Genomic DNA, 22,289 nt, shown 5'->3' with positions numbered 1-22,289 from the left:
TGGCACTTTTAAAGCTGTTATTATTTTAATACCTTATTTTAAAGAAATTGCTGAGAATTTGACAAAACTAATGTGGATGGCTATAACTGCACTTGACAATATCTGTATGGGGGAGGAAGTGAAATCTCTAGACAGTACTTAGAAATGAATGCTCTCATCCCACCCCACCTACATGTAATTCAGGTTAAATATGCGCGCATCCTAGTAGCTGGAACATCTGTTTCTAGCTTCTTGTTTCCCTTGGCTGCTTTTCAATTGGATTTCCTCCATCAGATCCGAGGCTTATCACCACAGCCAGGGTTTGTTAAACATCACCACTGTCCTGCATTAAATAGGAGGGCCGGGACTAAGCTAATAACTCACCTGCCTTTCTGACCGAGTGATGCTCTCCATGGTCACTTACCATTCAGGCTCCTTGGGAGGGTGCTTTTCTTTGTCTGTACCTCTGGGTGGAACTGGTTTTCTTTCCTCTTGTTCCTGCAGTTGCACGTGAAAAGGTGGGTTCATTGTGGCTTCTCTGGGGCAGCTGTGTGATGCTTTGCCACTATCAGAGAGTCAAAGGAACTGCATCTCAACAAACTCACTGTATCCCATCTGTGAGAACTCTAAGCGTGATAAGTGATGATTCTCTTCTGTTTTCCTTTTTCCATCCAGTTTTGTAAGCACATCTGTAAAAAGACCCAACTTTTTAGGAATTGTAGTCATTAAAATCTTATTAGCTTGGTTTTTAAAGCACAGAATTCTATTGTTAAAATGATCGAACTCTGTCTTCATCTACCTCTGATTATTTGCCGACTTGTAATTTTAATTATAATATTTGTGTGCACGTCTTATCTCCTTTGCCAGATTGTAAACTCCTGGATGACAGGTTCTGTGCTTGATGCTTTTTGTGTGTCTTTCCTCCTTCCCAGGTGTGGCACAGTGCTACTTACTGGTTTATTCTAAAGAATGTTACAAAGGAAACAGATGAAGAGATGCATAGGGCAAAGTGTGTGGAAAGGTGATAGAGCTTCCATGCCCCCTCTGGGTGCTCCACCCTCCAGGAACTTCCATGTGTTCAGCCATCTGGAAGCTCTTTCACTGGCATTTATCCAATTTGCTTATAGGTGTGGGTCTATTTCCCAGCTCCTATTCTGTTGCATTGATCTAGTTCTCTAATTTTTGCAGCTTTATATATGTGTTAGTATTAAAATTCCTTATCTAGTTCTTTCTCTTTAAAAATCTTCTTATCTATTCCTGGCCTTTGCTTATTTATCAGTTTGTAAAACTCCAAGAAAATCCTTACTGGAATTGTGATCAATTTGTATGTTACTTATGTGAGGATTGATACCTTTAAAACTGAGTTTTCCTGGGTCTGAATACATACGGCTAACTAGGGAGGTGAAAGATCTCTACAAGGAGAACCACAAAACACTGCTCAAAGAAATCAGAGATAACACACAAAAAATGGAAAAACATTCCATGCTCATGGAAAGGAATCATCAATATCATTAAAACGGCCATACAGCCCAAAGCAATTTACAGATTCAATGCTATTACTATTAAACTACCATTTAGATTCTTCACGGAACTAGAAAAAAACTATTGTAAAATTCATATGGAACCAAAAAAGAGCCTGAATAGCCAAGGTATGAATACAATAGATCTCTCTATTCAGGTCTTCGGGATTCTTTAAGAATTATTTTCTCCTTAGAGATACATAGGAATGCTCTTGATTTTTATGTTTTAATTTTGTATCCGGCAACCTTGCTGAACTCTATTATTAGTTCTGTTTGTCTGTAGAATTTTTTGAATTTTTGTTTCAGTAATGAGAACATTTTTATCTCCTTTCCAGATGTTTCACTTTTTGTTTTTTGAAGTCATTGCATTGCATTGCATTGCATTGCATTGGGCCTGTCACAGAGTGCTGAATGGAATAGATCCCAATAGACAATAAGAGATATGTATGCCTTTCTGCTGACTTTGATAAGAATGCTTCAGATGATCCTTATCGGTGAAAAAAAAATTTCTTCTATTCCTGGCTTATTACCTTATTATAAATGAGTGTTGAATCTGTTTAATTTTTTTTGCATCTACTGAGATGATCATATAGTTTTTCTCCATTAATATTCTAAAAGAGTTGGTTATTTCATGAATAGATTTTCTGTTATTGAACTGTACTGGCATTCCTTTGACAAAGCTTACTTAATGTGGTATAAATTCATACATGTATTATATACACTGTTGAGTTCTGTTTGCTAATATTTCACTTAGGACTTTTGCATCTACATTCATGAATGAGATCTATCTTTAATATTCCCTTCCAGCACTCTCCTTGTTCAGCTGGGTATCAAAGTTATAGAAGGCTCATAAATGAGTTGGGTTATTTTTCCTCTTTTTTCTCTGCAACTTTATATAAAATAAGAATAACAATGGTTTGTGTCCATTGCTGTTCTTGCTTCCAGAGAAATTTCTCCACAGATTCTAGTCAGTCCTACTTTGGTTAGGTGGGGGAGATTTTTCTTCATTCTTCTGTCCTCACATAGGACTCACGAATGCATTCAAAGGTAAGTTGTCTGCAGATCAAGTGGCTAGAGTGGGCACGCAGTGGTCTGTGCATGAAGGCAACTCATCCTTACAGTTTCTTCACACTTCTTGACCATATGGGTCAATAGGTACTCCTTATTTTCTCATTCATTTATATTATTCTTTCTTCCTGTTGACTGGCTACTATTTTCCTTTAAGATAGAGAAGCATTCAAGTAAGTGTCTCCTGCAATTGTATAAAATCTTCCCTGGTCCCATGGCTCTCTTTCTCATTCTTAAGTAATAAATAGTCCTATTAGTATGTCATGGTAGTTCATTAAGATTGTAGCCTCTGGGATGGGCGCAGTGGCTCACGCCTGTAATCCCAACACTTTGGGAGGACGAGGCAGGCAGATCACCTGAGGTCAGGAGTTTGAGACCAGCCTGGCCAACATGGTGAAACCTCATCTCTACAAAAAATACAAAAATTAGCCAGGCGTGGTGATGTGTGCCTGTAGTCCCAGCTACTTGGGAGGCTGAGGGAGGAGATTTGCTTGAACCGGGGAGGCAGAGGTTGCAATGAGTCGAGATTGCACCTCTGCATTCCAGGCTGGGCAACAGAGTGAGACTCCATCTCAAAAAAAAGAGAGGATTGTGGCCTCTGGAACCAGACTGTTCAGATTTAAATCCCAGCTTAACCAGCTATCAACTATATAACTTTGTATAACTTATTTGTGCTTCAATTTCTTCATCTATAAATGTGAGAAATTTTGTATGGTTGGTATGAGAATTAAACGAATGAATATATGTAAAATGTAATTGTTAAAAAGCAGTGCCAGAAAATTATTAGTAATTATCTATTTAAATACTACTCATTGATTATCCTCTTTATTCTCTGTTCTGTGACTCCTATTACATGAATGCTGAAACTTCTCGATTTACTCTGTATACATCTTAAATGCTTTTTATATGTTTCAAGTATTTTTTCCTTTCAAACTGAACTCTGAGTTCCTCAGAACTTTATTCAACATCACTCACTTACTCTTCAACTGTGTCCTATCTAGAATTTACCCTCACCACAGCATTTTTTATTTCAATGACTATATTTTCCTAAGTTTTCCAGTTGTCATTTTTATATGTATCTATTCTTGTTTCTTCCATTTTTACAATTTATTATGCTCAACTAATAGAAATTATATCTTTTTTAAATTTATTTGAACATCCTCAACATTTTATTTCTGTGTGGGAGAAAAATGCAAGAGGTAAGGAGAAGATATCCAAAGTTTTTGCAGCAGTCAAGGGAAATAATACAGTGGCTAGAACTGAAATTAAAGTGACATAGATGGAAAAATTGTACAAATGTGGAGCTCTTTAGGAAATAGGCTAGACTCGGCTCAGTGGTTGATTCCATTTATCTATTAGTGGACAGTGATTTGAGCATAGGGAAGACTGAAAGGTAACACTCTCTGTGCTCCGTTGGGTAAGTAGCCAAATGGTGGTATCATTCACTGCGACAAAGAACATATAACAAGAAACAGGTCTGAAGAAGAGTTTATTTTTATATATGTCTAATTAAAATGCCCAAAGGCAGTAACATGCTTATTTTAAAGCTTATCAGAGTGCCCTATCAAATTTATTTCACCCAGAGTGGATTCCTATTCTAATTACTTTGTAGCTTGTCTTAGCATTAGATTTCTCTAAATGTATTTTGGAATTATAATTTACAGGTTTGATTAGAGTGTAATTTCCTTTTAGTGGCTTTTTCTTTTTTCTCTCTCCTGCCTCTTTTCTCCCATCTTCTGTCTGTATGCACCCCACCCTTTCTAATACTTTTGCAGTTTTACTTGACCACACTGCAGAGCCTCATTTCAGGACCAGGATTTGTCATGATTGTTTAGAACTGTTGTCTCATGGTGACATTGACAATATACCGGATAAAGTGATGGAGCCAGCAGGTAGGTCGGCTGAGCTCTTGATTAGAAATTGAATTCTTGTCTTGCTAACTTCCCAGGCCTAAAACTCTTCAAGAGTGATTGTGCTAAGTAGGGGGGTGGTGGGGGGTTGTTCTTTCTTTTCTTTTCTTTTCTTTTTTTTTAATTTTGAGATGGAGTTTTGGTCTTTTTGCCCAAGCTAGAGTGCAGTGGCGTAATTTCCGCTCACTGCAACCTCCACCTCCCAGGTTCAAGTGATTCTCCTGCCTCAGCCTGCCCAGTAGCTGGGATTACAGGCATGCGCCACCACACCCAGCTAATTTTGTAATTTTAGTAGATACGGGGTTTCGCCATGTTGGCCAGGCTGGTCTCGAACTCCTGACCTCAGGTGATCTGCCCACTTCATTCCTGCTCCTTCAGATGATTTTTATCAGGGAAAATAAATTTTCTTCTATTCCTAGTTTATGACATCTTTCATTATAAACGAGTGTTGAATCTGATATTTTTCTGTATCTTCTGAGATGATCTTGTTTTATATCTATTAATATGCTAATTTGGTTACTCCATGAATAGATTTTCTGTTACTGAGCTGTACTGGCGTTCCTTGGTTACAGTTTACTTAATATGATATAAATTTATACTTATATTAACTGCATTCACTCTTGATGAGTTCTAGGCCTAAGAAGGTAGTAAGACACTAACAAGGCCAGGAGCCTGACAGAGCTCTGCTTAAGTTAAGCACTTCACTTAAGTTCTGCTCAGTATTTTGCAGGGCTGTTTGACTACATTTGAGTGTGGTGCCTTATTTTTTGTATTTTATAATCTAATTTTGTTTACGTGTTTATATGTGATATATTACTGTTACACATTTGGAACAAAGTAAGCATAAATTCACTAAGATGTTGTTTTCTTATTTTGAATTTTTAAAATATTACCTTTGTTCTAGATCAGAGATCCATGTGAAAAACTGGCAAGACAATAGTCTAAACTGAGCTCACTGGTATGAGAGCCAGCCGACTTTCCACAGTTTAGTGCTCAGAGGTAAAGGGCACTCTCAGAGAACACCAGTGACAGCTTTGTCTCCAAGCCAGTGTCTGTTCTTCTCTCCCCTCAGCGGCATTTGCTTTTACTTCTGCCTTACCATGGAGAGTGACGCTCTGACTTTAGGGGAATTTAGGACTGACTACTCCTCAGGAAACTTGGAAAAGAATTACCATGCATTACGGAAGGCTTAATGAAAGTAATTTATCTGAGTCACCCATCAAAAGATCACCAATGAAAGTTCAGCCAATAGATTATCTGTGAAGAAACATCTGCAGAAATGGCTTGACACAGATATTCATCTCCACAGGAAGCTTCAGGACTCCTTATAAGAAAATATTTGGGCAAAAGCTCAGGATCACTTTTAGAGAGATGCAAAAGCCACCTTTTTGCCTCATTGCAGCCTTAGTACTGCAGAGTTCTGTCAGTCATAATAGCGTCTAACCAAAATTTCCTGTGTCCTGGAATGGCCCTACTGCTGGAAAATAGCTCCTCACTTCTGAACGTGACCTTTGCCATTTTTGTGCTCAGTGATCTTGATTCTGCGTTTTGGGGCCTGTAGGTACAACAGTGGCCTACACAAAAGAGAGAACACTTCTGCCCTACCCTGGGCTTCTCCTTTTCCTTTATCTCCTGGGTAAATTCTCTCTGGAGTTAAGTCATTCTCCCTTTGTTCAAAAAATGTCATGTGCTGGTAGGAAAAGCAAATATTGAAAACTGCAAAGACCATGCCTACAAAGTTCCTGGAGATTGTTTGACTGTTCTAAACTGAATTATAAACTAGATCACATTCATTGGAAATAAATTAGCGTGGAGCAGATACTTCTGTTTACTGAAACTAGTTCCTACAGGATTTATCCAATAGTATTCCTACTGAAGCTCAGTGTAACCATGCTTGAGATAATGTCCACATATCCTTGGTAAAGCACGAGATTCATAAATAGAAGCACCTATTCCGCTATAACCCTGATTTGTGACCATATACTGATATTTAGAAAGCAGAATACACTTCTTTGGAAACTCAGAGTCAGATACTTATTTAACATTTTCAAAGTGCACTCATCTTGGTGCTAATCCATCTGACTTTGTCCACCATAATGGTCAGGTAGGATCAACCAAGTTCAGATATTGATCTGTCATAATGTAGGACTTCATAAAGATAATAGGAGGACGAATTCAGATGATTTCAATGGAATTAAATTATTGGAATTGAGAGATGGATACTCTAGAATGAGGATCATATAGTTTACTAAATGCATAAATATATAAAATAATCTACTAGTAATATACAGTGGAGGTCTGATAACCTTTCTGTTGTAGTTCACTAATGAAGAAATGAGAATCCTTAATCAGAGTGGCTAATCTAATGGTCTGTTATTTAGCCAGCCTTCCTAGTTCCATTTTTTACCCTGTGCGGCCAGCGGAGATTTATCCTGCCCTTATTTCAAGGCCTTAGTTTTGTTCTTTAATAATGCAGTTGCCTGGAATTTCTCAGTTGGTTTCTGTGGAGCTTTGCCTTGCTCGGTGTGCTCTGTGGAATGCTGACTGGCTGCTTTTCTTGTTAACCCATGAGAGCTGTGAGGCATTGTAGGCCTCTGATTTTCTTTAAGTGAATGAGGTCCCTGACTTGGACACAGAAAGGGAGTCATAATCAGGCAGGAATACTCTTGATTGTGGTGAATTTTGAAAATATCTCCTTCATAGGGCAGAATCTTTTTCTACCTAAGACTATTAAACATTCTTTAAGCACCTTATTTAAGCATTTCTTATATAAATTCTTATGTTACCCGTAATCATGACAGTCAACTTATGAACTTATGTAACAGTTCATTGGCATTTCAGGGAGAGAAAAAGTAGTGGCTTGGAGTTTTACTGATGTGAGAGGTATAGGTTTCAACAAATGATGATAGTAAAATAATATCTTATTATCTAATATACATTCAATATTTGTGGTTATTGAAGTCAATGTCAATGTTCTTTTGAGCTAGGAAATAAAAATGAATTGTGTAACAAGGGTCTAGTTGTTTGTAGGAAGGAGTTTACATCACAGAAGTATGAAAACTACGGCTTCATTGAATTGGATGAGTTGAGTTCGCTTTATTCCCTAGCCTCAGAGTGTGAAGCCAACCCTGATCTTATGAGGTGCAGGAAGCAGAATTTTAGAGGGAGTTAATATTCACTATTGGATGAGTGGGTTACAAAGAGGCTTTGGATTCAGGTTACAAAACTTTTCTCAAGGTCCTACTATGTGCATTCAGCATAGTACCAGGACTTAGGGTACATCGTGGGCATATGAGGATGCATACATCATTTTGTCCTCACAACAACCCTATACTATAATCTTTTGCCATCCTGAAGATGAGGACAAGGAAATTGAGGCTTGAGAAGGTTAGCAGGATTGTCCAAGATTACTCAGTAAGTAAATGTTAAAAGCAGGATTCAAAACCAGTTCCAGTTTTGATGGTGCTGTCGATGTTGTGATTGTTGATCACACACACACACACACACACACACACACACACACTCTTAAATGTGTTTGAGCTTCTATAGTCATGAGACCCAAGCTGTCCTTGACAGAGCCTTCATTATGAAGGGTAGATCTGAACTCATAGAGCATGAAAACAGGTGAAGAAACCTAGAGAGCCAGAAAGAAAAAAGGTAAATATTTAGTGGGAACCTAAAGTGAAAGTTGGCTAAGAATGGACTCATTGACAAGAGAGACGGACGGATAAACAATTCCTACACTTCTCTTCTTCTTGTGAAGTTAATGTTTGCTACTTATTTAGGGGAATTGTAAGTGACAAGCTCTTTATTGAGTCACAGAATTGTTATCATTTTCTATTATTAAAATCAATGTTATGTCTAATTTGGGGAGGATTGTAATTTACGTGCTAATGTGCAATTTAACTTGTACTGGTATCATTCTCACTTAAATGGTTATTTTAAAAAAGAGACCTTAACAGTATTTTAAAGATTGAGTATACAATGCCTTGAAACTTTCACATGCTGTAATTAAATGTTCACTGTCTTAAGTATCTAATCTTAAGTTTATACATAACAGGAAATACTATAGTTTTAACCATAAGTCATTACAATAAGCTATGTCTTCACTTGTTTTATCTAAGTCTTTCAGTTGTCTAAACTGAATTTTTGAATCAAATTTAATTAACCATAACAAACTCCCTTGATTTTACAATCTGGATATTGAATTGAGAATATGATGAGCTATGTCATTTTCTTTTAGACGTAAGGAACATTGCTTGTTCCTTATATCGAGGCATAATTTTCATTCAAGATGAGTACTCCTGTTTAGAGTACAGGAAGACGTTCTTTTAAAGGCACTTAGTTGACTTTTCATTGCTAGTATCCAATGAGATTTACTAAGTACTGCTGCATGGCAACATTCTGGTTGCTACCTGGGGAAAGGCATTCAGAATCATCTGGAAATAACATTTTGAATTTAGTTCTCATATATTTTGGAATGCAACTGATTTCTACTTTGTGTCTTTTGAAGTAAGTGCTTCCAGATAAACAGTTAACTTAGTGCTGTGGCAACATATTGATTGATTGGCATCCTTAATTAGCTGGAATTTCTTTTGGGACTATATTTAGTATAGAAGAGAAAGGGAAAAAATAGCAAGCCAAATAAAAAGCCAATATCATTTATCTTTCTTTAATTTCCAGGGAAAGATCAAGGTCACATAGACTTAGCTGAATGTGTTGTATTTCCTGCATTTGCAGTGTCACATAATGATAACTGCTCTTAAAAGGGTGACTGATTTGAACCCCCTCCACAAGAGATATTACAATATCCTATGTCAAAGAAAGATTTTATTTCAGCAATCGATTTTCAGAGTTAATGAGTGTATCACTGAAGATGAATAGTTTAGGATTTTTACTGCAAAGGAGAAATTACCAGTTAGGGACCCAGCAGGGAACAGCTGGAACAGTCAAGCTGACGACCTTGCCTACTTTCAAAGGTATGGGTAGGGTTTAGGGAAATTAAGAAAGGTAATTTACTGCCCCTGCCCATTAACAGTGAAGGGTCAGGGGAATAAGGCTACCATCCCTAGGCCTAAAGAATTAAGGGGGAGGAGCAGTTAAAGAGATAGTGCCTCCATTTCCCAAATCTCATGGGAAGCCACAGCAATCCACAGGATGACCTTCTTGAGGTTTAGGGCAGGGAAGAGAAGGGGGCACAGTGGATCTGGAGGGAAAACAGAAGAACTGTAGCACAAGAGAAAAGAACATGAAAAATCAATAAAATCAATCATGGTTGGACTATAGCAAGCCAAGCTCAACTGCAGCTCTGGGTCTTGACTGGAGGAAAGAAGAAAGCTCACATTTATTGAGTGTTCTTTCCATTACTCCTGGTATATAACAAAGCACCCTTAAATTAGTGTAGTAAAACATCCACCCCTTTATTATGCCACAGATCCTGTGGGTCAGAAATTGAGACAGGACACATTGGGTATGCTGTGCCTCTGTTCCACTGTGTTTGGCACTTTGGCTAGGAAGACTCAAATGCCTGGGGGCTAGAACCATCTGAATGCTGTTTTATTCATGTGAGTGGCACCTAAGCCGGTTGATCCAAGGGCTAGGTTCATCTGGGGCTGACTGTTGACCTACATGTGGCCTTTCCAAGGGCGCTGAGTTTCCCCACTGTGGTAGCTGGAGTGTCCCGAGATTGAGACACAGATGCAGCAGATGAAGTTGCTTGGCCTTTTCTAATCTGGCCTCTGAAGTCACACAGCATCACTTCTGCATTTAGTTCAAGGCCAGGAGAATTAGACTCTGTGTCTCAGTGAGGGATGACAAGGTCATGTTGTAGAAGAGCACGCTGAATGGGAGAATATTGTTGCAGCCACCTTTGGAAAATATGAGCTGCCATATGCACACTCACGAAGGCAATATGAACTAATATCATTTTGAAACATCCTGACAATCGTTTCAACAAACCATTTTCTAGGTTAACCATAAAATTATATTAACCAGATCCTTTCATTATCCAAGGTTTCCAATGATTAAACTTTGTCTTCCTTTTATGGAGCATCACTTTTAAAATGTAAGAGATGCTTCCAGGATAAACTAGCTGAGCTTCCTGCCCTCCAACAGCATGAATATCACTGTTCTCATTTTCCTACAGACTAAACCCAGTGATGTGTAGAAGGAAAAGTAGGGACTAGAACTCAGGACGCTTGGATTCTATTTGTTTTCTTTTCTTTTTTTTATTTAAGCAGGAATAGATAAGAAATGAATTGATAAATTAAATTTTACCAAATGAACACACAAGCATCAGACTTGAGAAAGAAGCCCTTGGCTATCCTATAATGTCAGGGGGTCGACCTACTGGGTTGGGGCCCTCATTGGAAGATTGGGCTTAGCTTGGTATCTGGCACATACAAGGGCTGTAGCATATAAGAATGCAGTTGCTGAGAGAAGAGTAATGGTCACCAGGACCATTAATGTCAGTGGAGAAACTCTGACACATAGTTATCCCTTTTCCTTTTGCCCTTGATGACATCTGCCTGGCCTATCCATTCATCTCCCAGCTGGTGCAGTGGATTGACCCATGCCATGTTATTAACTTTCCGAAGGGGATTTTATGTAAGGTTTTGTGCCCTTCTGGAGACAGGGACACTAAGCACACTTACCTTTGCTATTCGTGCACAGATACAAGCCTTTTCGGAATGTTTCCAACCTGTTACAGTCATCTGACGGTCCTTTTCATGTTTTGACATCAAGAATTTGCCAAACCACCCAAGCTTTAATGAAACTTCTAAGCAGCTAAACTTTTTTCCCCCACTCTCCAATGGCAGATGCATGTCAGCTTCTCTGATGTCAATGATCCGAGTCTCTATTCCACCGACATCTGTTAGTTGGGAAAGCCTGAGAGGTTGAAGGTTTACTTGTCTCTTGAAAACAGAATTTTCTCAAAAAAAAAAAATTGTTCTTTTTTAAAGGATTTACTTACTGTTTTGCAACTCCCTCTGACACTTTTTTAAGTGACAAGATGCCATCTGGCATCAGGGGGATTTGGCTGAAGCGAGTCCATGCTGAGGCAGTGCGAGGTGGTGGGTGGTAGGACAGCAGGTTCCAGGTCAGTCCTGCGAGCTGTGTGACTGAGGGAAAGCCCCTCAGTGTCCTTGGCTGTAAAGGGAGGAGGTGACCAGCTCGTTGGATTGCTCCGGGCCTTTCCAATTCTGGAGTTCTGTACACCAGTGAGCCCACACAAGGTCTAGACATCCTGAGAGCTCAGGGTGCCAGCCTTTGTACAGACTGTTCTGCCTTTCAGGGTTCTTAGTCTTTAGTATTCTTACCCAGTGTTTCACGTGTCACATGTGAGCACTAGCCCTTTCAAGGGAGATGCTGAGTTGCTTCTTCACTGCCCCTTCACTTCAGTCCATGACAGTCTGGCCACTCCTCTACATTCCCTTGCTAATGATGTCCTAGTTATCAAAGTCAGTGGTCCTTTCCCTTTCTCAACCTTTGTGACTTCACTGTGCCTCAGTTTCTTCGCCTGTCAGATAATGATAATGACGGTGCTGATTTCATTGGGTTGTTGAGAGGTTTGGGTTATTATACATCATAATAGATAACAGGTAATACATTATTGATATAAATACACATAGTTTAGAACAGTGCCTGGGACAAGGCTTCATTTGCCTATAGACCCTGTGTGAGTCCCTTACTTACATTAACTACCTGGTCTCTGAAGGCAGCAGGATTATCAATCCTTGCTATCAAATCCCTGTATTTTAAAAAACATAACATCTCAAACTTCACAACATTATTTTAAATTGTATTTCAGTCTTTCAGAATTTACTGACATCAACTAATATAAAGATATCTGTCTCCTCTATCCTTTAATTACGCTAATAATGTAGCAATTGCCTCATAACACCTGGTGATGATATCTACTTTCATTAGTAGTAGCAGTAGTATTTTGGAGACAGAGTCTCGCTCTGTTGCCCAGGCTGGAGTGCAGTGGCACGATCTCAGCTCACGGCAACCTTCGCCTCCTGGGTTCAAGGGATTCTCCTGCCTCAGCCTCCCAAGTAGCTGAGATGACAGGAGCCCACCAACACACCCAGCTAATTTTTGTATTTTTAGTAGAGATGGGGTTTCACCATTTTGGCCAGGCTGATCTCGAACTTCTGACCTCAAGTGATCCACCTGCCTCTGCCTCCCAAAGTGCTGGGATTACAGGTGTGAGCCACTGCGCCCAACCTACTTTCATTATTTAAATCTCATTTGGTTTTCCACCTGGCATGTGTGTGTTAGTCTCGTCTCCATGGCTGGACTGTAATCTATGGAACAGACTTTACCTCCTACCTCTATGATCTACAGTTTTTCCTAGGCAAGCTCTCCTCCTCCTCTTGCCAGCTGCAGCATCAGGGTGAATTGTAAGAGGTCCCTATTCTTCATCCCTCCTTTAAAACCAAGTAACTTTTGAACAACTTTCCCATCAGCCGTCAGCATGATCGTTGACGTGGTCAGGTACCTCACCTGACCATGAGCATGTGGGCTCAGGATTCAATATGTGTGAATCTTTCTGTCTGACCCCCAGGTATCCGCCGCCAAACTGCCCATTGCATAAAGAAGGGCCGCGGGATGGTGAAAGCTACATTCTGTGACCCAGAAACACAGCCCAATGGGAGACAGAAGAAGTGCCATGAAAAGGCTTGTCCACCCAGGTAACCATCGCTAACAGCTGGAGCTCTGTGTGTCTGCCTACAGTGATGTCTGACTCAAGAGTGACCTAGTGCTTGCTGATAAAGAAATATTGTGTGGTTTTGTTATTTGGATAAATACAAGAACGCGGTTAGAGTTTTCTGTGGCTATGCTGTTGGAGCCTGTGGCAAGCTGTGAGGACATATTCTCCCAAGAGCAGTATTTTCACAAGGTGATGTGTTCTGTGTTTAATTATTTGGCAAGACTAACTGCCAAAGCATTGGTGAAGAGAGTGCTAAGTGGATCACCCAAAAGTAGTTTTACTACAGAATTGTCTTTTCCAAGGGCTTTACCAGTGCAACACCAGCCTTCAGACAAAAGGTTGGCACCTTCCGATCACAGTGCCCACTTGTACTTCAGGCTGTCCAGAAGAGGGGGCTCAGAGAGCAGGTTTTCCCAATCTTGACATTACTGGCACGTGGGGCTGGCTGACTCTTTGTTGTGGGGGGCTGTCCGTGAATTGCAGGAGGCTTAGCAGCATTGCTGGCCTGTGTTTACTTAGATGCTAGTAGAACTCCCTCCCTCCCAGTCCAGGCTATGACAACTAAAAATGTCTGCAGACATTGACAGATTTCCACTACGGGGTAAAATCATCCTCAGTTGACAGCCACTGTTATAGAGATATTCAGCAATATTCAGGGTGTTGCTAATCACATTGGTTCAAGAGATTGGGATCCTAGAAGGTAGTTGGGATGTTATTATGCCAGGCTTATGTTTAAAAAAAAGAGAGAGAAAAAAAAGAAAGGAAAAAGATAAAGGAGGAAGAAGGAGAAGAAGAAAAGAGGGAGGGAAAAAGGGAGAGGAAAGAGGAAGAAAGGAAGGAATATTGGTTGATTTCCAGAAAGAGTCTTCATTCTCTGGCAACCTTAAACAGGGATGTATTTATGTTGCAGAGTCCATCAAGCATTCATCCCAGTTCTAAGCAGACACACTATGAGGCATTTAAACAAGGGGGAGACTCAAACAGGTGACAGGGTGGATTCTAAAGAAGAGCTAGAATGTGATAAATATCCAAGAACTAGGTTAGAAAGAAGAGTCAGGACAAGACAGTTGAAAAAAATGATGTCAGTCTCTTAGCAGTCCAAACAGGCAGGACCCAGAGGCCAGGGTATTCTCAGCTCAGAGAGAGAGGTTTATTTTCTCTTCTGTTCTGTGGCTTTTTCTAGGTAGGAGCTGGACCCCACCACTATTGAAGCAGGACAGAAATGTGTCATTGCCTCTCCGTGCTGTAGCTCCTTCCTGTGGTTCTTTTGCCAGGAAGAACTAGAAATGACAAGGGAAGATAAGGCTAGCACTAGGTTTTACCTGAAATTGCAGTTATGTTACTTTCTCAGGGAAGAATGAGGCAGGGAAGACAGCCCTTCTTAGAGCTAGTCCATTGCCTACTACTCCACAGAGTTCATGAACTGTGAGATTTTTGACTGCTGAGAATGTTAATTAGGCACAATATAATACATACAGGTATAATTTCTGAAAATGCACTCTCAAGTAGGATATAATAAGCTAAGTAGAACTGCATGAAACATTCAGATATAATGAAGACTGGATAACTTACAAAGAAAAAGAGGTTTAATGGACTCACAGTTACATGTGGTTAGGGAGGCCTCACAATCGTGGCAGAAGGGGAAAGGCATGTCTTATGTGGCTACAGACAAGAGAGAATGAGAGCCAAGTGAAAGGGTTTTGCCCTAATAAAGCCATCAAATCTCATGAGACTTATTCACTAGCATGAGAACAGTATGGGGCAATCCGCCCCCGTGATTCAATTATCTCCCACCAGGTCCCTCCCACAACACGTGGGAATTATGGGAGCTACAATTCAAGCTGAGATTTGAGTGGGGACACAGCCAAGCCATATCAATGGCCAATTTACAAAAGTGCTTTTTATTTATGATTGCATTTTAGCTTCTACAAATATTTATGAAATAGTCATAAGACAGGGTATGGGTATTACTCTGAGGTGGTATATGAGGAGATAAAGGTTCAGAGAAATTTGATGCCATACCCTAGGGGAAATGGCTGCAGAGAAAACTAGCACTTCTTTTTTTAAATTTTACTTTAAGTTCTGGGATACATGTGCAGAATGTGCAGGATGTTCCATAGATATACATGTGCCATGGTGGTTTGCTGCACCTATCAACCCATCATCTAGGTTTTAAGCCCCGCTTGCATTAGGTATTTGTCCTAATGCTCTCCCACCCCTAGCCCCCCAACTCCCTACAGGCCCCAGTGTGTGATGTTCCCCTCCCTGTGTCCATGTGTTCTCATTGTTCAACTCCCACTTATGAGTCAGAACATGACATGGTATTTGGTTTTCTGTTCCTGTGTTAAAAACTAGCACTTTTTAAGAATGCACTATTTTCCAAGCTGTTTCCACATAACCATATCATTTAAGCCTGTAAGCAACCCTAATTTGTAGATACATTTATGCTCATTATACAAATGAAGACTCTAAAGCTTTCACCAAAATTTTCCTAGGTCACTTAGCTACAAATTGTAGAGTCGGGATTTGAACCCAGATCTGTTTGCTGTGCTGCCTCTGTATGTGCTGCTACACCATGCTGCTGCCTAGGATCTCAGGATAAGCAGGTTTCAGTACTAGAACCAGAATCCCCTACATTTAAACTTTTTCTCTCACATTAAAACACAATAAAAATGTTATGAATGCTTGACTCCAAAACTAAGTCATGCCTCCAGGTCCAAGCAATTCTCCTGCCCCAGCCTCGTGGGTAGCTGGGATTACAGGCGCACACCACCACATCTGGCTAATTTTTGTATTTTTACTAGAGATTAGGTTTCACCATGTTGGCCAGGCTGGTCTCAAACTCCTGACCTCAAGTGATCCACCCGCCTTAGCCTCCCCAAGTGCTGGGATTACAGGCATGAGCCCATGTGCCTGGCGATTTGCTTTTTTAAAAATAAATAAATAATAAACTAATATTATTTGTTTTTGCAAGATTAGTTCACTAGTTTCCTTGTATATGAATTTCAAGCTGCAATATCTTCTTCTGTCACCGAATTTCCATGATCTCTAAAAAGTTCATACCCATCACTGGGAGCTGTCATTTCCTTTCCCAAAAAATTTCCTGTGCAAGGTTTAATCTTATTTATTTATGGATCATTTTTCTTCAGTAATATCTTGTTTTTACAACCAATTTCAACATTCTGTGTTCTTCCCCAAAGGAGTATTTGAGAGAGATTTTTTTAAGATTTAATAAAAACTTTTGATTATCTAAACATAAAAAAATATATATTACATTGCCAATGGCTTTCAGGATGAAAGCCTTGTAGAGCATGTTCCAGGAGAGGGTAGGCTGTCAAGAAAGAAATTCTTTGAAAATTTAATATATCTGACTCCAGAAAGAGGTTATTTGAGTCCCTTCTCCCTACTGACTTCTCTCTGAATTTTGGTTTTCAGCAAAGCAAAGCTCTGCTAGGCCACAGCTGTGATAGTGCCTAGCATATCCAAAGTACTCAATAAACCTCTGACAGTGATTTTTTTAAACTCTGGCAGCTACATGTAGGTTTCAGTCCACAAAATAATGACATATGACTTAAATCAAGGTTTCTCAACCTCAACGCTATTGCTGCTTTGGGCTGGATAGTTTTTTTTGTTTTGTTTTGTTTTTTGTTTTTTTGTTTTTTGTTTTTTTTGTTTGTTTGTTTTGAGACGGAGTTTCGCTCTTGTTGCCCGGGCTGGAGTGCAATGGCGCAATCTCGGCTCACCGCAACCTCCGCCTCCCAGGTTCAAGCGATCCTCCTACCTCAGCCTCCCAAGTAGCTGGGATTACAAACATGTGCCACCACGCCCAGCTAATTTTTGTATTCTTTTTTTTTTAGTAGAGACGGGGTTTCTCCATTTTGGTCAGGCTGGTCTCGAACTCCCGACCTCAGGTGATCCGCCCACCTCAGCCTCCCAAAGTGCTGGGATTACAGGCGTGAGCTACCGCGCCTGGCTTACTGGGCTGGATAGTTTTTTGTTGTGGGAAGCTGTCTAGTGCCAATGTAGGAGGTTTAGCTGTATCCCTGGACTCTATCCACTAGATGCCAATAGAAACCCACCCCCCTTTCCCTGTCACCACTGATTTGTGACGACGAAAAATGTCTTCAGACATTCCCAAATGTCCCCTGGGGAGGGAAGCTGCAGAAATCTCTGCTGATTGAGACCTTCTGATCGAAATGAAAGGAATAAGATCGTTGAGACTGGGAAAAGCCCATGAAAGAGGGAAAAGGACTGAGCATGGTGTGTGTAGGGGACAAGAAAGCTAGGGAAAATGAGGCTGGAGGAATGGGATATAATGAGAATATGGAGACAATGGGTACACAGAGCCAGGAGGTAAGAGTGCTTATACTGTAGTCATGGTTTTGTCAGAATTTGAAATGTTTAGTTGAATCGGATTTTGGAATGTAAATTCTATTAGGAAAAATATTAGTACAAAGAAAGATGATAATTATAAAATTTGATTTCTTAAAGGAAATTACTATTCTCAGCAAGGGTTTAACAAATTCAGTTTTGGACTTTCATTTATCTGAGTAATGAAGGTTAGAAAGAGTGACGTGTCCTGGTTTGTTGGCGATCAGCGCTGTTGGAACATATACTGATAGGGGAATCAGTAGAAGCTACTGATAAAAGAAGGGTTCTTTTAAAAATAAAAGAGAGGTTCAAAGGGTCTCTAACCCATCCCTTCTACTTGATCTCAGAGAGGACTCATATCCAAACTACAGTAAACTTTTACAGAATTCTGGAACAACTACAGGCTCTTCAAAGATCTCAAACATAGGCACACACATACACACACACACACACACACACACTTAGACATTTAGATAAAACATAAAATCTCCATAAATATAAAAACAGTATTTTAGAAATCTCCAACAAGAGGTGGGATTATGGCAAACACCCAAAAGAATGAGATGGGCAGCAGAGAACAACTGGACCATGGCTCCTGAGCCCTGGACCTGGAAGACCTTTACAGGAAAAAAAAAAAAAAAAAAGGAAGAAGAAGATGGTTTTCACTTTAATCTTGTGAGACTAAGACTAAGCTGTTTTAGTCCATTTTGTGTGGCTGTACCAGAATACCACAGACTGGGTAATTTATAAAGAACAAATTTATTTCGTGGCCAGGTATGGTGGCTCACTCTGTAATCCCAGCACTTTGCGAGGCCGCGGCAGGATTACTTGAGCGCAGGAGTTCGAGACTAGCCTGGGTGACAAAGCAAGACCCTTTCTCTATAAAAATAAAAAATAAATTTCTTTTAAAAATAAACATTTCTCACAGTTCTGGAGATTGGATGGCCAAGATTGGAGGTTCATTTGATCTGGCGGGGGTCTTCTTGCTGCATCCTCATAAGGCTGAAGGAGGAAGGGCAACAGAGGACAAACGTTCATGTCCTCATACAGAAGAGTGAGAGGGAGTAAACCACTCCCAAATCCTTTTCCAAGTGGCCTTAATCCATTCATGATGGTAAAGCCCTCACGATCTAAACACCTCCCATCAGATCCCACCTCCCAACACTGTTATATTGAGGATTAAGTTTCTAACACATATGTTTTGGGGAACACATTCAGACTATAGCAAAATCACAGGCAATATGTCCCCTAAGGGACTGTAGAGAAAACTCCAAGAAGAGAAAACAAGAACGTCTATTATCACTTTGCAGTAATACAGCTGAAAGCCCTGTAGCAAGTACTTAGATAAATTAGGCTTTCAACCAACTCAGATTAAGACCTTTTCAGAATGGCATTTTATATATTCCCTTGGCCTGCCCTCCTTTAGAAAAGTCAGAGGCAGGACAAAGTAATTAGATTAATACAGTGGGGCACTTATTTGGTTTCACATCATACTGTTCCAATATTATTAGCTCTTTATCCACTGATGTTAAACACCAAAGAATAAATAAGTAATCTCAATTACTTATTAAATGAAGAATATGATTGAATTGAGGAATTGCTTTCTTCTGATATTTTTAACTTGAGATTAAAAGTGTCACAATCAAAAGAAATTCTACATAAATAAATCTAATATTTAGTAAATAAAAATAAAAGTAAAAAGTTTTATCTTCAAAATTACCAAAATTCAATGCTGTCTCAAGTCAGGAGGCTTTCCTGAAGTCAGGAATGAAGGACTTCCCCCAGTGTACTATTTTCCCATGAAAAATAGAAGTGCCCCACTTGTTACTATATGAAGGGATGGACAAGCGGGCTGTACACAGGAAAAATAATGGACACAAACCACACTGGGTGAAGACACTCAATCTGTCTTCGGTGTTGGGGAAGATTTGCACAATAATGGAGAAGATGGACAAGAGATGGCTCCCTGCCATTTTCAAAAGCTACTTTTATGTAACCAGTGGGCCCACATCCTAGATTATTGAGTAAAAAACGATTTTATTTATGTTTATTCTTTTTCTACTCATTTCTTATCAAAGGGACCAGTGAGAATATTAACAAGTAGACTGCAGGAGATAGGGAAAAAAATAAAGGCAATATCCCTGATTGATCGCCTCCTAAATAATTTAAAAATTTATGTTTAAGTAGCTACTTTACATTCAATTAAGAGCCAGGAGACCTAGAGTCTAATTGGACTCTTTTATTCAATAGCATGGTCAAAATAACAATAAATCATAACAAATGCTTGAGTTCTTGTTATATGTCAGGCTCTGTACTATGCACATTACATGAATTGGTCTTTCATTTCATGTACAACACAACACTCATATAAAGAAAATATATTTTCACACCCATTGAATAATGAGAAAGCGAGGCTTAAACTTGCTTAAAGTTGCACAGCAGAACCCTGGACCTCAGTTTTCTTCCTGAAAAGAGAGGGCATGCATATATATTTTTTTCTCATTCAAAAACATGCGTATTTAGCAACAGCTCATGCCAGGCGCCCTGCAGAGCTACGGAGCTATGATTGAAGACACGGTGGCCCTGTCTGCAGCACGCCCCCTAGTGGGTTGGAGTGTCTCCATGGCCCTTCCAGCCCTGTGATCTGCATTTCTGCCCCTGCTTTCTCAGTGGTTGAATGGAACATATGCGTAAGTTGGCGATCTTCTCTCACATATCCATGTTTGCCTGCAGGTGGTGGGCAGGGGAGTGGGAAGCATGCTCGGCGACATGCGGGCCCCACGGGGAGAAGAAGCGAACCGTGCTGTGCATCCAGACCATGGTCTCTGACGAGCAGGCTCTCCCGCCCACAGACTGCCAGCACCTGCTGAAGCCCAAGACCCTCCTTTCCTGCAACAGAGACATCCTGTGCCCCTCGGACTGGACAGTGGGCAACTGGAGTGAGGTGAGCTCAGGGCTCGGCGGGGAAACTGGCATTATTCAAGCTTCATCAGCCCCTGCCTTCCTTCTCATTATCCAATCCAAAGTGACCCTAGGTAAAATTGCAAAATAGCCAGTGTTCATCACCCCTGGCCTGTCTCCTGCCTTTCCTGTGTCCACTACTTATTTTCCATTCATAGGGGATCTTGCTCCCACTTGCTCAATGGTCAGCTTACTATCTGACAGGGGTGAGGTAGACCCCCCACTCCCAGTACAGGATCACAAAGACTAGTTAATAAATCATCAGAAGCTTGGCCAGGCCCATTGTTAAACCACTGGTAGCAGATAAGGGACCTCCCACACACCCCAAAAGTGGTTTATAAAACATTGACTGCACATCACTGTAGTTAACCCAAACCAAAAGAGTGTCGCTTGACACTGAGAAAAATCCCCTCAAATTATCCATCTATTCACCATGTGTCAAGTCCAAACCAGACCAAGGTTTCTAACATCTATTATCAGACACACAAGTTCAGATAAATGTTGCATTTTCCCAAAATTAATTTGATCTAATTATCTGACTATAATTGGAAATCAGTAAGCTGGAAGGTTATGAAAAGCTCTCTCAGGCTTTAATTTTCTTTGGGTCACTTTGGAATCTGGTTTCATCAGGCATTGTCATGTTCCCAGTTATTAGTGGAAGGCCCCAAAGTCTCCAAGGGCCTCAGCTCTGCTTCTCTATGTGCAGTTCAGTGAACAACCTAAGAATAACTAGAAAATACATGTTTTTTAAAAATTAACAGGCCAGAGTTTAGAGATGGATGCTGACTTTATCTTACGAGCTTCCTTGAGAAGCCGTATGCTTCCATGATAATGCTACCACTGGACAGGCACCTGTAATCCCAGCACTTTAGGAGGCCGAGGAAGGAGGATCACTTGAGCTTAGGAGTTTGAGACCAGCCCAAGCAACATGATGAAACACCATCTCTATGAAAAATACAATTAGCCAGTCATGGTGGCACATGCCTGTAGTCCCAGCTACTTGGGTGGCTGAGGCAGGAGGATCGCTTGAGACTGGGAGATCGAGGCTGTAGTGAGCTGATATCATGCCACTGTACTCCAGCCTAGGTGAGAAAGTGAGACCCTGTCTCAAAATAATAATAATAACAATAATGCCACCATTGCTCAGGATATTTTAGGAACTCCTGTGAGGACTCAGGAGAAAATGGAGAATATCTGATTCAGGAGAATGCCACAGAAAGTCAATTAGAATGGGGCCTGATGGATAAATGAATAATGTGATCAAAATCTTTGTGTTTAAAAAATATTTGATGATAAATATGTGACAGATTGCTTTTCACCTGCTCTGAAAGAAAAATTCTAAAATTTGTGTAAGCAAAGATACCATCTCTGAAGATACCTATTTGAAAGCAAAACACTCATTTAAATACAGCAGCTTTGATGAAACCTTATTTCCAAGACTCCCTTTTATTAGCTTATGTCACAGTTTAGGTTTATTTACCTTCTGAATCTGTACAGGATGTTCTCTTGGGCATCTAGGTGAAATTAAAAAAAAAAAAAGAAACAGAAAATATGGTCCCTAGATGGTAAGAACTTCCATCCAGTGGGAGAGATGGGATCCAGAAAAGAAAAAGAAAAAAGGAAAGGAAGGATAAAGATATGCATGCAAAGAAATATACCTACATACAAATATGGGTGTATTACTGATTCATGCACAGATGTATGTACACACATCAGTGATAAGCCATACATTCTTTTTGCTATTCCTGGGAGAGTATAATCACG

The 22,289-nt window shown here is 40.1% G+C and overlaps 1 protein-coding gene across 7 annotated transcripts in view, besides 2 other annotated features; it reads left to right on the top strand.

The window, feature by feature from the left end:
* ADAMTS12 (ADAM metallopeptidase with thrombospondin type 1 motif 12) overlaps positions 1-22,289 on the top strand; it is a 368,456-nt gene that overhangs the window by 282,884 nt on the left and 63,283 nt on the right. For all 7 annotated transcript variants that reach the window (NM_001324512.2, NM_030955.4, XM_017009905.2 and 4 more), the window contains 2 exons: positions 13,047-13,173; positions 20,298-20,508. In NM_001324512.2, coding sequence (NP_001311441.1) covers positions 13,047-13,173; positions 20,298-20,508 — 338 coding nt within the window. The remainder of the gene's footprint in view (positions 1-13,046; positions 13,174-20,297; positions 20,509-22,289) is intronic.
* Positions 4,000-5,199: an enhancer, noted in NCBI's record as "MED14-independent group 3 enhancer chr5:33604013-33605212 (GRCh37/hg19 assembly coordinates)". NCBI's record gives its function as "activates an origin of replication core promoter dependent on BRD2, BRD4, P300/CBP and CDK7 cofactors, and independent of MED14, by STARR-seq in HCT116 cells {active_cell/tissue: HCT116}" and the evidence as "EXISTENCE:reporter gene assay evidence [ECO:0000049][PMID:35650434]".
* Positions 20,202-20,251: a silencer, noted in NCBI's record as "silent region_15963". NCBI's record gives its function as "represses an Ori minimal core promoter by ATAC-STARR-seq in GM12878 lymphoblastoid cells {active_cell/tissue: GM12878}" and the evidence as "EXISTENCE:reporter gene assay evidence [ECO:0000049][PMID:35858748]".

The sequence above is a fragment of the Homo sapiens genome, chromosome 5 (assembly GCF_000001405.40).
Source record: "Homo sapiens chromosome 5, GRCh38.p14 Primary Assembly".
NCBI classification, from domain to species: domain Eukaryota; kingdom Metazoa; phylum Chordata; class Mammalia; order Primates; family Hominidae; genus Homo; species Homo sapiens.
The sequence above is the reverse complement of the archived record's forward strand: the minus strand, read 5'-3'. Positions and strand labels throughout refer to the sequence as shown.